The 15,776-nt window shown below is 39.7% G+C and overlaps 1 protein-coding gene and 1 non-coding gene across 3 annotated transcripts in view, besides 1 other annotated feature; both read left to right on the forward strand.

Moving 5' to 3' along the window:
- Positions 1-15,776, forward strand: part of AATF (apoptosis antagonizing transcription factor) — a 107,918-nt gene that overhangs the window by 79,876 nt on the left and 12,266 nt on the right. Inside the window, exon 11 of one of the 2 annotated variants that reach the window (NM_012138.4) lies at positions 2,785-2,856. The exons of the other annotated variant lie outside the window; for it this stretch is intronic. Within the exon in view, the coding sequence (NP_036270.1) occupies positions 2,785-2,856 (72 nt within the window). The remainder of the gene's footprint in view (positions 1-2,784; positions 2,857-15,776) is intronic. 2 annotated transcript variants of the gene reach the window in all.
- MIR2909 (microRNA 2909) lies at positions 4,916-4,984 on the forward strand. The gene has a single exon (NR_036056.1). It is a non-coding gene; the product is annotated as a microRNA 2909 (primary transcript).
- Positions 14,289-14,489: a silencer, noted in NCBI's record as "peak2828 fragment used in MPRA reporter construct". NCBI's record gives its function as "represses an SCP1 promoter by STARR-seq MPRAs in K562 erythroleukemia cells {active_cell/tissue: K562}" and the evidence as "EXISTENCE:reporter gene assay evidence [ECO:0000049][PMID:32103011]".

The raw sequence follows: 15,776 nt of genomic DNA on the forward strand, positions 1-15,776 counted from the left end.
GTGTTCAAAAATATGAAAATAGGGTACTTCTGTTCCTACGGTTATATGCAGCTATTTATAAATTGTTTATGGGACATTGCTTATAAGGCTAGGTGAGAAAAGAATTCATTCAAAATTGTGTGAATATATATATATATAAGGATCATTATGTGAAACAAACGTAACAACAATTGTCTATAGGTAGAAGGATTGTGTGTGGGATTTTTTGTTTGTTTGTTTTTTAGATAAGCTCATACTCTGTAGTGAGCCATGATCACACCACTGCACTCCAGCCTGAGCTACAAAGCCCAGACCGGAGGGCTCACTGCAGTCTCAACCTCCTAGGCTTAAGCAATCCTTCCACCTCAGCCTCCCGAGTAGCTGGGACTACAGGCACATGCCACCGTGCCTGGCTAGTTTTCTTACTTTTTTATTTTACTTATTTATTTTTTTGAGACAGAGTCTTGCTCTGTCACCCAGGCTGGAGTGCAGTGGCCTGATCTCGGCTCACTGCACCCTCTGCCTCCTGAGTTCAAGCAATTCTCCTCCCTCAGCCTCCCGAGTAGCTGGGATTACAGGCACACACCACCACGCCCGGCTAATTTTTGTATTTTTAGTAGAGAGAGGGTTTTGCCGTGTTAGCAGGCCAGGCTGGTCTTAAACTCCTGACCTCAGGTGATCCACCCGCCTCAGGCTTCTAAAGTGTTGGGATTACAGGCGTGAGCCACTGCACCCAGCCAGTTTTTTTACTTTTTGGTTTTTGTTTGTTTTATTTTTGAAACAAAATCTCTCTGTCGCCCAGGCTGGAGTGCAGTGACATAATCTCGATTCACTGCATCCTCCATCTCCCGGGTTCAAGGGTTTCTCCTGCCTCAGCCTCCCTATTTACTGGGATTACAGGCATGTGCCACCACACCTGGCTAATTTTTGTATTTTTAGTAGAGATGGGGTTTCAACATGTTGGCCAGGCTGGTCTTGAACTCCTGACCTCAGGTGATCTGCCCCCCCTCAGCCTCCCAAAGTGCTGGGATTACAGGTGTGAGCCACCGTGCCTGGCCAGTTGTTTTTACTTTTTGTAGAGACGGGGTCTTGCTATGTTGCCCAGGCTGGTCTTGAACTCCTGGGCTCAGGTGATCTTCTGCCTGGCCTCTCAAAGTGCTCAGGTTATAGGCATGAGCCACTGCGCCAGGCCAACTGTATGTGTTTTCTGTGTGGTTTGGTTTTTTTTCAATTTTCTGTATTTTATACCTTTTGTATTACTTTTTTTCTGGGTTGGTGTGGGGGTATAGACAGGGTCTTACTATGTTGTCCAGGCTAGTTTTGAACTCCTAGTCTCAAGCAATCCTTCTGCCTCAGCCTCCCCAAGTGCTGAGATTACAGGCATGAGCCACCACACCCTGCCTCTATTACTTGTATAATAGGAAAAATCTTAACCAGTATTATTCTTGTAAAATTCATTTGTTGAGATAAAGAATTACCTTTGGGAGGCTGAGCTGTGGGTGATATAATAAATAATTAAATTATTTGATATGTGTAAAAATGTTCCTAAAACTTTAAAATATTATGTATTAAATACATGAAAATACCACATTTTGTTTTATGGATAGTGTTTTGCCCTAGTAGAGTTTTTTGGGTTAGAATTTTATTTTATGTATATAGAGAGGGCACATTATAATGAGTAGAAAAGGATACCCCTTTGAATTATCTTTGGTATGATTTGGTCTGTATAAGGTCATATATTTTCTAGAGCATCTCAAACACATCATACAAAATATTTTTTTTTCCATTTGGTGGGAAATGTAGGTGATATAACTTAAACTTCCATAGTACCTAGACTGAAGATCTAGGAATCAAACTTACTGTGAATTCAGTTGTGTTTCTCCATTTAAAGGTGGGGGAAATGAAAGACCCCCTGGATCTAGTGCATGGAGATGACGTGGAATTGCAGACCCCTTTTCTGCCTTGGGGAACCAGTGGCAGTGTGTGTGGTGTTGGTGAGGTGTTGCATTCAGATACTGTACCACTACCTGTGCTGCTGCCAGTAGATGGCTTTTGTGACATCTATTAAAATGAAAAATGCTTAAGATATATGTAGAGGAAGAAAATGAGGTAGTCAATTCCTCATTGTCTTTAGTCTGGAATAATGTTTAAGGGTTGTATATTGCTCAAAAGCACAAGTGTACCTGTTCTTTTTTGGGGCTGTACTATAAATGAATCTGTGTTGAACTGTCATTTACAGTATACTGTTATCAGACTTTTCTCCTGTAGCATTAGGGAAAAAGGGAAAAATGTACAGTCAGCCCTACATATTTGTGAGTTCCACATCAGTGGATTCAACCAACCACAGATTGAAAATATTCAGGCATGGGGAAAGGAATGTCTGTACCTGTGAACAAGTGCAGACTTTTTTCTCGTCATTATTCCCTGAACAATACATTGTACAACTATTTACGTAGCATTTACATTGCATTAAGTATTTTAAGTAATCTAGAGATGAATTAAGTATATGGGAGCATGTGTGTAGATTACATGCAAATACTATGCCATTTTATATAAGGAACTTGAGCATCCGTGGATTTTTGTATCCATAGAGAGTCCTGGAACCATTCCTCCACAGATACCATGGGATGACTGTAGTTGGTCATCCCAATGACAGTGGTAAGTGCCTATGAATTTTTCCCTATCCCACTTTGTACCCAGATGTTCCAGTGATCAGTTCTGGAGTTTGTTAACTCACTGAATGTGTTTCCTCTCCTAGGTTAATAGTTACTAATGTTGCTGCCTGTTGCTTCCTGCTTTATTTAGGTTTCATGTCCTTAGCAAGCTACTGAGTTTCATGGCACCTATTGACCATACTACAATGAATGATGATGCCAGGTGAGTAATAGATTAATTATGTGTCTCAAATGGCTTCATGACAGCCTGATATTGACCTGCTCTACAGCCTTCGCCCTCTCCATTTCTTCTTATCAGTTAACCATTTGTCATTGGCATCGCAGTAAGGGTCACATCTCTTCACCCTCATAATTACTATAAAACCAAACCAAAAACTTGCATAAATTTCAGTGCTGCCTTTGGTGGTTTGTTTGTTTTTCCTGTTTTGTTTTGAACTTTAGCCCAGCGCCCTGGGACATGTGAGCTCTCTAGGACAGGGCAGGTGGCCCATGTTCTTGCCGTTTGTACTTGGGGCTGTTGTGCATATGCTTTCCTTTTGAAAGTGGCTCTAGTGAGTGCTCTGGAGATGTGCATATGTTGTATTTGTTGGGGATTGTGAGTGTTTTTACAAAAGATGTATATGCTTATTTTATAAAGCTGAAACGAGAGAAATACAGAAAAAAAGTGTATGCTCATAATATTACCGTTCAGGGATAACCTTTTTAAAATAATAGTTTCTTCTGTATCTATTAATTGGCATTCTATAATGAAGAGCTTCCTCTTCTCCCTCATTTATTTACCATTTATTTATTCATTTATATCAATATGGACTCATGTTTTCCTATTTTATTCAATGAGTTATGTTTATTTTGATATTAAAATTGTCCCAGATAGTGGAAGTGCCGTCAAACTGGCTTGTGTCCTTCAAAGTTGTCTTCAGTCAATCTTTGAGTACTTCCTTACTTTCTGGCACAAGAAGATGTTTAATGCTCATCTTAGACTTTCCATCTTCCAGCCCTGAAATCAGTCTTTCTTGAAGGAGCCCTGGCTCTGTTTAGTGGATTGTGGTATTTAGAAACCAAGATCTAGGTACTAGGGGTGCTCCTTGTTAGTGAGTATTGCTATTTCTAGACCTGTCAGCAGAGACGGGAAGTGTATGTATATACACTCACACCTACACAGAAGACAGCCACTTTTAACATCTTACAGCATTTCATTTCAGTTTTTGTAAGTTCCCTTTCAGTATTTTCCTGTTTTTCTTTTTTATATTGAAATTATATTCAGGAAATGTTTTATATACTGAGAGCATTTTCATGTCGTTAAAATAATTAAAATTTTTCAATGACGAAATAATATTGTTATAATATTTATTTAGCCATTCACTGATTGTTGGACATTTAAATGGCTTTTAATTGTCATCATTGTAAATAATGCTATGAGAAGCATTTTTAAACATATTTACCAAGTGAAATTATTGGTCATAACATAGGCACAGGTGGTTTTTGCCAGTTTTATCCCTCAAACTACATATAAACTTTTTATTTTAGAGTATTTTGTTTGCTACCAAATGCCATCAGATTTTCCCCTCCTTGTCTGAAAGTATGAGATCTGCAAATTTTGACAAATACTATTATTATTTTTTATTTGGTTTATTCAGTACTTTGAGCACAAAACAGCCTATGGATGGTTCTGAGTACATTTGTGTCTGGCTTTGTGACCACATCTGCTATCCTGTGCTTTGCAAGTGAATGTCTAGATATGGCCATGGTTTTTTGTTCATTTCTGGATCCAGTCTGTTTAAAAATTGCAGAGTAAAGTGAGTGCATCTTAGATTCCCTGTCAGGATGCTGTGAAAAAATTATATCAAGAAGAAAGCAAAACTAGATTTTGAAAATTAAACCAAACCCTTTAAGGTTACGTTATTATCCCAGGCATAAAATGAAATCTAGTTTAGATATTAGTGGTATCTTTTGATCATAGTACTATGAAATCATTCAGAAATCAACTTTATGCCATTCTTAGTTGGAATTTTACTTGAATCCCTTGAGGTGTACTTAGTTTTTCCAGAATCTTACCAATATTAACTCCTAATTTTTGAAGGTCTACTATTTGCTAGACATAAAAATTATTTGAAAATGACTCTATTAGGATTAATTTGGGTATGGCCTATAAAAAATATAAAACCTGACTACAGAGGCATAAGGAAATGGAAGTTCATCTTTGTGACAGGATAATTCTAGGGGTGGTAGGCAATTGTTGTCCATGGCTTTTGCTTCTCGGTGGTGTTAGGGCCAACATCTCTTGGTCTTTCCCCTGTGGTCCCAAGATGGCTGTTGCAACTTAACGCCATCAAACATGCATTCAAGGCAGGAAGAAGAGGAAAGAACTGTGCCAGCCATACCTGTTTGTTTTTAATCAGAAAAGTAAAACCTTCCCCAGAATTCCCTTCAGCAAACTTTTTGTATTTCATTGGCCAGAACTGTGTTATGTTGCCACTCCAGGTAGAGCAAGCAAGGGAGAAGGGGTTAGGAATGTGTTTGCTGGGTGACAGTCCTTGTGACATTTATAAGGAGAAAGGGCTATCCCTTGTGGACTGATTCCTAATTACCAGCATTGTTCTCCAGCTGGTTTAGCTACTTAAGGAATGGAATAATAGTCTTGTAGCTGGAGAACTGAACATTTGTTTTTACCAAAGTGCGCACCATTCTCATTGTGTTTCCTAAGGATAGGGAGACGTGTCCATATCAACTGCTCAAGCTTTATGGTTTGAATAGGCCAGATTAACTATGGGTACAGTAAATAGGAACTAGCTCTCTCTCCTAGTATCAAAATTTTTAGGGCCAGTAGGTATTGTTAACTTTATCTTAAGTAAGAAGGAAGTAGTAATAGCTTATCCTCCTTTGTTTTTTTTTAGTGGAAAAACAAAAGTGGAAGTAACCTAGTACCATTCTATTTTGTGTCCCATTTGTACACCACAAATAGGAAGCTTTCATAATTGTTAGAATATCAATATCACTGCATGCTACTTTTCCTCAAGTAAATACTTTTGGTTTTCCTAAGTTATACATATGTCATTCTTGGTGTGCCGGGGGCATAGAGAATTTTTTAAACTGATTTCAAGGTAGTGAAGGACTTTATAAGAATGACCACAGGGCCAGAAACTAAAAGGTAAAATATTAATAGACCTGACTACATAAAAGTCACATTGAAAAAGACATCAAAAACAAAGTTAATAGGTAAATGATGAACTTGAACAAAAAAATTCCAGCAGATGACATATTTTTCTACTATGTAAAGAGTTTTTACAAATGTCTAAGAATATCCCAATAACAATAATGGACACAGCATATCAACAAGAAGACTTAAAAATCAAAAAAGAAGGTCGGGCACAGTGGCTCACACCTGTAATCCCAGCACTTTGGGAGGCTGAGGCGGGCGGATCACGAGGTCAGGAGATCAAGACCATCCTGGCTAACACGGTGAAACCCCTTTTCTACTAAAAATACAAAAAATTAGCCGGGCGTGGTGGTGGGCGCCTGTAGTCCCAGCTACTGGGAGGCTGAGGCAGGAGAATGGCGTGAACCCAGGAGGCGGAGCTTGCAGTGAGCCGAGATCGTGCCACTGCACTCCAGCCTGGGCGACAGAATGAGACTCCATTTAAAAAAAAAAAATCAAAAAAGAAAAATTTCAAGGGCCAAAAACCATAAGCACTTTCAACCTAATCAAAGAAATGCAAATTAATATAATGAGATTTCTTTTTATTATTTTTTTTTGAGACAGAGTTTTGCTCTGTCACCCAGGCTGGAGAGCCATGGCACTATTTGGGCTCACTGCAACCTCCGCCTCCTGGGTTCAAGCGATTCTCCTGCCTCAGCCTCCCGAGTAGCTGGGACTACAGGCGTGCACCACCATGCACACACGCCCTCCTTTTTGTTGTCCTTATTCAGTTGGAAAATATTAAAAGGATTAGTAATACCCAGTGTTGATGGTGTAAGGAAAAATGCACCTTTGCATACTGTTTTTGGAAATGTAATTGGCAAAATCTTTTGGGAGGATTATTTGACATTGTGTTTCCAACTTTTTTTTTTTTTTTGAGATGGAGTCTTGCTCTGTTGCCCAGGCAAGAGTGCAGTGGTGCAATCTTGGCTCACTGCAATCTCCACCTCCTAGGTTCAGCAATTCTCCTGCCTCAGCCTCCCATTGGTCAGTCTGACCTCAGGTGATTTACCTGCCTCGGCCTCCCAAAGTGCTAGGATTACTGGCGTGAGCCACCATGCCTGGCCCTGTTTCTGACTTTTAAATGTGTCTGTTAACACAGAAAAATCTACTTGTAGGAGATAGTCTTTAATAGTTGCCAAATACATTTGTGTTAAGGATCTTTATTGCAGTATTGTTTGTAGAAAAATAAAAAATCCAAATGACCCAAACTAAATAATCACAGTAAAATCATTCAATGAATTTATTATTTTTTTTTTCTTGAGACAGGGTCTCACTGTATTTTCTGGGCAGGAATGCAGTGGTGCAATCATAGCTCCCTGCAACCTCCAATTCCTGGGCTCAGGCCATCCTCCCACCTCAGCCTCTTGAGTAGCTGGGACTAACAGATGCACACCACCACACTCCACTAATTTTAATTGTGGTAAAATACATGAAACAAAATGTTCTGCCCTTTTGACTTCTTGTTCCCAGAGGCACCTCCGCTTATGGTTCTTAGTTTACCCACATCTGGAAGTAGAAACCCTCTTCTTTTCCTTAGTTGCTCATTGGTTCCAGTTTACCCTTCCACACGTGCCTAAATTGGATTAATCCTCAGTGGTTTTGGTGGGGTGTCCAGTTGCGTATCCTTGAATCCCCCCCATATCCCTTTTCCAGTTTGAACTCAGTAAATTTGCCCCTGGTTGACTTAAATTGAAACTGGAACGTAGCTCATTAAGGGAGAGAGAGAGATCTTTAACACAGGATATTATCCTGGTGGTATATCCTGGTGGAGAAAGAAATGCTATCTTTGAAAGGATAGTGGCATCTTCATTTTGTTTCTCCTGTTGTGTGGTCTGAGTAGTGTTATCTATTTAGTTAATTTCTGCTGATACAAATTCTTTTCTCACGCTAAGAATTTTTCTCTTCAAGCGATCTATTTTTTTAAAAAAAAAAACCTTTTAAAATGCAAAGTAGCCAAGTTGTGTCCCTGTTGTTACCAAATTTCCCTTTGGGGCATTTCCTTCTAGGTAGATGTTGGATATTGATTTAATGCTTTCGGATCTCCTTTGTTAGTGGAAATCTTATGCAACCCCTGATACTTTCTATGTGCTGGTCTAGTAGATCTTATACTCTTCTCCAGTATGAGGTTACAGATGGTTTGTATTGCATGCCTGATGAGCATTCCCAATATTGAAAGAAAACAAAAGAAAGCCCAATTTGTCCGTGTATTATGTGTTTGCTTGCAAGGGAGGAGGTTACCATAAGCCTAAAAATGATCCCTGGCTTTGCTAAACCCTTGATGCTCTTGACACGGGGTAGCTCAGCTCCCAGGACAGCATCATCTTTTTGTTTTTTTTTTTTTTTTGAGACAGAGTCTCGTTCTCTCACCCAGGCTGTAGTGCAGTGGGGTAATCTCGGCTCACTGCAAGCTCCGCCTCCTGGGTTCAAGTGATTCTCCTGCCTCAGCCTCCCGAGTAGCTGGGACTGCAGGCGCCCACCACCCCTCCCCACCCCCTGGCTAATTTTTGTATTTTTAATAGAGGTGGGGTTTCACCATGTTGGCCAGGATGGTCTGGATCTCTTGACCTCATGATCCACCTGCTTCGGCCTCCCAAAGTCCTGGGATTATAGGCGTGAGCCACCATACCTGGCTGACAGCGTCATCTTTAAGAGGCAAAGGATCACTTGTTTTTGTAGAGCCAGAGCTATCAGTGGCCTAAGGAGAAGAAAAGGCTTGACATCTCATTGGTAGAGAATCCTCTAAGCATATTATCACCAGCAAGAGCGGGTCAGTACTTTACTTGCATGATTTGCAGGGCTGTTGTTCACTTCTCTATTGAAGTTATTCTAAGCTCATCAAGGACCTTTTAGAAACAGTGCTTACATTGTGTAATGTGAAATCCCACCTGCCCCATGCCATTAGACCAGAGGGAGTATGATGTGACCATTAAACATGCTATGCGTATATCAGAATATCACATGCCCCCCATAAATAAGTACACATATAATCTATCAATACAGAAAAAGTAAAGCCAGTGTTGGATGCTGATACGGTTTGGATTGGCATCCCTGCCAAATCTCATGTTGAAATGTAATCCCCAGTGTTGGAGGTGGGGCCTGGTGGGAGGTGATTGGATCATGGGGGTGGATTTCTCATCAGTGGTTTAGCACCATTCCCGTGGTGCTGTCCTCATAACAGTGAGTTCTTGAGAGATCTGGTTGTTTAGCAGTGTGTGGCTTCTCCCCTGTCCCCACTCTCTCTCTTGCTCCTGCTGTGGCCTTGTGAGGCATCTGCTCCCCCTTCGCCTTCTGCCATGATTGTAAGCTTCCAGAGGCCTCATCAGAAGCTGGACAGATGCCTGGTTCATGCTTCCTGTACAGCCTGCAGAACCGTGAGCCAATTAAACCTCCTGTCTCAATAAATTACCCAGCCTCAAATATTTCTTTACTGCACTGCAAGAATGGCCTAATACAGAAGCATTCCAAAAATGAAAATAAAATAAAATAAATGCAGATGATCTCTCACTATAGTTCTAACAAAGTGAAGGAATTTGGGGTTATGGAAATAAGCATCTGCTTTTTGCCTGTGTTTTTGACAGACCCTCTGAGGCAGACTGAGTTAATTGTCATTTGTTGTGTGGATGTAAGTCAGTAAAATGCTAGTATGACAAGACAAACAAATACTGACTGAGACCCCTGAGACAGGAAGAGATGTGTTCCTCAAAACTGGCCACTGACTCAGATTTGGGAAGGGACATTCATGTGAACCTGCTCTGTTGGCATTGGTTTTGGCTGTCAGGATGGAAAGGGTCTGGTGATGGCAGTCAGCTTGATGCATGCCAAAGAAAATAGGTGTTTGCCTTGCATTAAATGCTGCTTCAAGGAGAGGATATTAGATAGATTTGATGCTGGTACTGTCAGTTAAAAGTGTAGGTATTGAATTTTTCTAAATAGATTTCCCCCCCTTATTCCAAAAATGGTAGCAAGATTAACATTTTGTAGGTACTCCATTCCTTTGCAAATAACTTAAAGAAATTCTCAAAATGTACAGCAAGAGTTTCAATTTTAGCTCCCTGTTCTCTCCCCAAAAATACAAAACTACCTTTCCCACTCCTTTTATAAAGCTGCTGGCATTAAAAAAAGAACAAGGAGAGGATCCTTTAATGATAAGTACTGAGCACCAAATACATTATTGTTTTACATCTGGAGTTTTAGAAAAGAAATGTACAAATGCAATCCAGCCTTGTAAAGTGCTTTGTCAACATCACTGCCACGTTGTTCTTGAGATGCCCTGGTATAATAGAAATTGTACAGGCAATTTATCTTCAGCTTGCCATTTTTGTGTATGGGTCTGCACCCTAAATATGGGCATACTCTACCACTCTACTGATGATATTCTTTTCCCCCAGTTGGTAACCCAGAAGATAGTTAAACCATTTCTTGCTCCCCCCTACCTATATTTAATAGGAATATGCACTGAATCATGGTGAGATATTCTGGTGTAGCTTGCTCAGCATTTGAGAACACATCAGCTAATAACCCCTGAAATACCCTCCATAGAGCATTTTCTGTTGGTTAAAAACTTGCAAGCAAGAATGGTTAAAGTACAGATGTTTTCTCTGAGGCTTCGTATCTCCTAAAAAGACACAGGTTATTCTGACAGGTGAGACAAGCCCAGGCAAATATGCAACATTGATCTAATCAGCAAGAACAAGAGTGATGTTTTAACTGGGGCTACCTTTTACCAGCGTCATTAAAGGCTCCCATTACTCTTTTATTAGAGGTTCCCTCTCTTCCTTATCAGATTACAGAATGAACATAACTCATGGCAGTGATTTGATCTCTTGTTAAAGAGGATTACAGCTTTGCATTAACTCGGATTGACATAGTTTATAATTTGCTTGTTGATTCTCAGGTGGGTAGCACCACACGTTTGACCCCCCAGCAGTGCTGAGGGGAAAGGACCCGCATATATCATCATTAAGGATGGCGTCCAGCACAGAGATAGGGGCATGGGGCCTTCTTTCGCCAGTAATGTCAGAAAGGACAAAGGAAACACTCTCAAGTTCAAACCTAAGGCTTGGGCCAGAGTTTTAAAACTGGGTTGGAAAAAAAACACTGCTGTTGTTTCTTCTATTTTTCCTGATTTGCTGCTGTTCAGTCTCTTATTCTAGAGAACTTGCATTGTCAAAATGAAGCCTTGGCTCCAAGCAGGAGGTAGAGTGATAAAAGCACATCTTCTAGAAAGAGATTTGTAGATGCTGAACAGATAAATCCTTCCTCAAAATGGGCCTTTTTGACTATAGTTCTCATTTCTGCACTTATATTCTCATCGCTTCTTCAAAGGATTGTAAATCCTCTTTTTTTCCCAAAGGGATGTTTCACATTCTTTAAAGTGTGTGTAAATGTTTCTCTTAAGGACTTGTTTTTTAATTTTTATTATTATTGGCTTTCTAAATATATTGCAATATCTTACAGATATTGTATTAATCACAGCTAAGTAACTGGCAAGTTACTTGCAAGCCGGTAGGCAATAGCTAAGTTTTTCACCTTAATTTAGTTAGTCATAATCATGTTATTGATGTGCCCCACAGTGATCACTGAGCCAACAGTCGATTGCTGAGATACCATTTCTGTTTCTAAGTGCAGTTATCCTTCGCTCTGATTTATCCACTGTAAGTCTGTCCCCTGTGTCTGATGGGCAATGAAATAATATAGAATAATCATATCATATTTCACTTACTGAGAGTTTACTATATGCCAGACATTGCACTAAGCCCTTCACATATATTTTCATTTGTTCCTCATTTAAAAAAAAAACAGTGATTGATGTTATCTGCATTTTATAAGAATACTAAGGCATGGAACAATTAAATAACTTGCCTAAGCTGAACAGCAAGTAAGTAGTGGAACAGGTGTGTGCATCTAAGAGTGTGGTCCCAACCCCCACTGCTGTTGCCAAGAAATTCACAAACTTTTAGAAATATTTGGGAATCATGTGCCACAGGGAAGGCCCCCATCCCCACCCCTAGCTACTCTTTCAAAAACTTATTTGGGGGGGGGAACTTCTTTAGATTAAAATGCTTCCCCCCCCACGCTTTCTTTTATAGGAGAGATGCTTTCTATACAGGAAGGTTTTGCCTGTCAGTCATTCATATTTTAGTGTGAATCACTGGATTCCCAAACCTGGTTTTATGTTATATCATTCTGGTTACAAAGACCTTAGACCTCATAATTAGCTTTGAATCCTGATCTGGTATATTTAGTCAGTTTATGCATGTAATTCTATTCTCTGCCATAGTCAGGCACCTATCACCTACTTTTCTTAGAGACAGTATCTTTTTCCTGTATAATAAAAATAGTGCATGCTTATGGAAGAAAATTTGAAAAATATAGAAAGGACAAAGAAAAATTTGTCATCCTGCTATTGAGGGTAGAACATTATTAATACTTTTACATGTTTTCTTATAGAATTTTTTGTGTATGTATTTTATACAGATATATACGTATGTGTTTGAATCTTTTTTCAGATTAACTTATAAGCATTTTAATGCCTTAAGTATTTTTAAAAGCATTTTAATAACCTAATAATCTATTATGGAATATGTATTATTGTTGGACATTTAGGTTGTTTGTAGTTGCCTTTCTTTTCAAGTAGTGCTGCAGTGAACATATATATACAGAAATCTATGTTCTAGGTTTTGCTGTGTCTTTAGAATAGATTTCTGGGTCAAATATCTAAACTTTCTAATGACTCTTGATGAGTTTTACTAAGTTACATGACTCTTTTCTTTCCAGCTGAGGCTTATGTCATTTTATCTTTGCTAAGCTGGAGAGCTCTTTTTTCTTTTTCTTTTTTTTTGAGACGGAGTCTTGCCCTGTCGCCCAGGCTGAAGTGCAATGGTGCAATCTCGGCTCACTGCAATGTCCGCCTCCCGGGTTCAAGTGATTCTCCTGCCTCAGCCTCCCAAGTAGATGGGACTACAGGCGTGTCCTATTACACCCGGCTAATTTTGTATTTTTAGTAGAGACGGGGTATTGCCATGTTGGCCAGGCTGGTCGCGAACTCCTGACCTCAGGTGATCCACCCACCTCAGCCTCCCAGAGTGCTGGGATTACAGGTGTGAGCCACCACACCCGGCCGGGAGAGCCATCTTTTAAAAAATATTTCCTATTTAGATATAAAAGTTACTTACTGTTTTTAAGTTCATAACAAATGACACCTTATTGAGGACATATAATATGGTAGGCAGTGGGCTATAATCTAATGTTTATTTTCTCTTATAATAGTAAATTTGAAGAGTATTAATCATGTATTTCTATCATTTGTAGTTGTTTTTATCCTTTGCCCATTTTCTTTTTGAGTTTTGACTTTTCTTTATGAATTTTCTTCCTGTATGAATTCTCTATATTATGGCTATATTTATGGTTATATAACATTTCCTGGTTTTTGTAGATTTCCATATTTTGCTTACCTGTCAATATTAATGATTTTTATTGGTTACATAGAAGTTTTACTTTTTAACCTGATTAAATATATAAGAACCTTTTTGTGGGGGGTGTTTTTCATTGTTTTATGATTAGGCAATCTCTCCTGTATCCCAGAACAATTATTCACCTATATTTTATTTAATTTCATCTGAATTTTTTTTCTTTTAATCTACTTGGGAGCATTATTTTAATATATTATTCAATGATCTTCACTTTTTATTTCTACTGCCTCTTTTTTTGAGTCCAGGTCTTTTTTTTTGTTTTTTTCTTTTTTTAACAAAAGACAAGGTTTTACTCTGTTGCCCAGGCTGGAGTACAGTAGCCCAATTATAGCTCACTGCAGCCTCGAACTCCTGTGCTCTAGTGATTCTCCTGCTGCAGCCTCCCAAGTAGCTGGGACTACAGGCACACACTACCACACCCAGCTTTTTTTTTTTTTTTTTCCTGTAGAGACGGGGTCTTGCTGTGTTGCCCCAGCTGGTCTTGAACTCCTGGACTCAAGCAGTCCTCCCACCTTGGCCTCCCAAAGTGCTAGGATTACAGACATGAGCCACCACTGCACCTGGCCTTTTAATTTTTTCTTTCTTTTTTTTTTTTTTTTCTTTTTGAGACGGAGTCTTGCTCTGTCACCCAGGCTGGAGTGCAGTGGTACCATCTCGGCTCATTGCAAGCTCCTCCTCCCGGGTTCACGCCATTCTTCTGCCTCAGCTTCCCGAGTAGCTGGAACTACAGGCACCCACTACCACGCCTGGCTAATTTTTTGTATTTTTAGTAGAGATGGGGTTTCACTGTGTTAGCCAGGATGGTCTCGATCTCTTGACCTCATGATCTGCCCACCTCGGCCTCCCAAAGTGCTGGGATTACAGGTGTGAGCCACCGCGCCTGGCAAATTTTTTTTTTTTTAATTCCCACATCGACTATTACACTAACGGCATATTAACCAATAGTCTGTATTCTCATCAGTTCTGTTTCATTGCCAGATTCACCTTCCTCCAATATCACATGCTACTCTTTGCCTCTAGCATAAAACCCAGACTCTCAAGCCTGCCAGTCAAGGCCATCGATGACTTGTTGCCTTGCTACTTTTCTCTCCTTATCGCCTATTTCACCCCATGTGCTGTCCAGAGCAGACACCTGCAATCCCTGGGACACACTCCCTATTCTGCATGTCTGTTCATTCTGCTCATAGCCTGCAGCATCTCCCACCCCCGTCTCACTGTTGTTTCCTGTTGAAATATTCAGTCATGAGGTCACCAGCCTTTCTAGGGAGACTTCAGATTCTCCACCCCCACTGAGCTTTCTTCTTTGAACCCATTCTGTTTGTTCCTCCCAAACAGTTAAACTGTTAACTGTATAACAGTTCACAGACACACTTATTGGGGGCTTTTTTCTTGCTAAGTATGTTAACTTAAAAGTCAAAGAAGTATGCCTGTGTGTACTGTAATCTTGTATTTGGTATTATCGAGATTTTATGTTCATATATTTGGAATAATATATTTTAATTTCAATTGTAGTATTTGCAAAACACTTCACTTAAGGTCTTTTTCCAGTTATTGTCGGCCTCCTCTGAGCTCAGCGCTGACTCAGTATTCCTGAGCACCTTATGCCCTCGCTCGTATGCAGTGCCACCCTGGGAAGCCTTCTTTATGGGCCATGGTTTCTTTCTTTTACATAGTGAAAACAGGCCTCTTGTTCACTGGATTCTTGAGAATAAAATGTTCTTTTTAATTTTTTAATTTCTGAGAAGGACTATTTTAAATGTAACCCCTAACAGATAATTATTTAAATAAACAAACTTTGTGTTTTCACATCTGTGTATTACGCCACTGTCCCTCAGCATGCAATACAGACATAGCCATTTCTGTGCAAACCCCAAAAAAAGTTGGGTAGAGGCTTCCTGTCTGAGATGCTTTTAAAGGCCCCCAGCTTGTATGTTTGTTTACAGTTTGCTGTTTACAAGATTATTTTTGCAACTGTCCTATAAGATGAAGATGAGTTTCTTGCCTCTTTTGCTGAAATCTCTCCAAATCATCTCACTTCTTTAATATACTTTCCTCTGCTTCCATGTCACTTTGTATAGATCCATATTATGTATAGCATCTACCACCAGGTTGTTTCCTAATTATTCATAGGTTAGGTCTCCATGCTAAACCATTGCACCGCTTGAGGGCCGGCTCCTTATTTTGTTCTTAGCTCATGGCAATGTTGGAAAAGACCCAGAATGAAAGGTTCTCCTCTGGGACTTCTGATTCCCCACCCTTTGCTTAGAGGGTTTTTGGGGTCATTTTTACTTAGGATTGAACCCTGGGAAAGGCTCTCTCAAGAACACTCTTACATGTCCATCACTTCCAAGACCCTAAACTTTGTATACACTATAGGTTTTCTCCTGCTATATACTATATACTATAGGTTTCTCCTGCTATATACTATATACTATAGGTTTTCTGTGCTAT

The sequence above is a fragment of the Homo sapiens genome, chromosome 17 (assembly GCF_000001405.40).
Source record: "Homo sapiens chromosome 17, GRCh38.p14 Primary Assembly".
Lineage (NCBI taxonomy): Eukaryota > Metazoa > Chordata > Mammalia > Primates > Hominidae > Homo > Homo sapiens.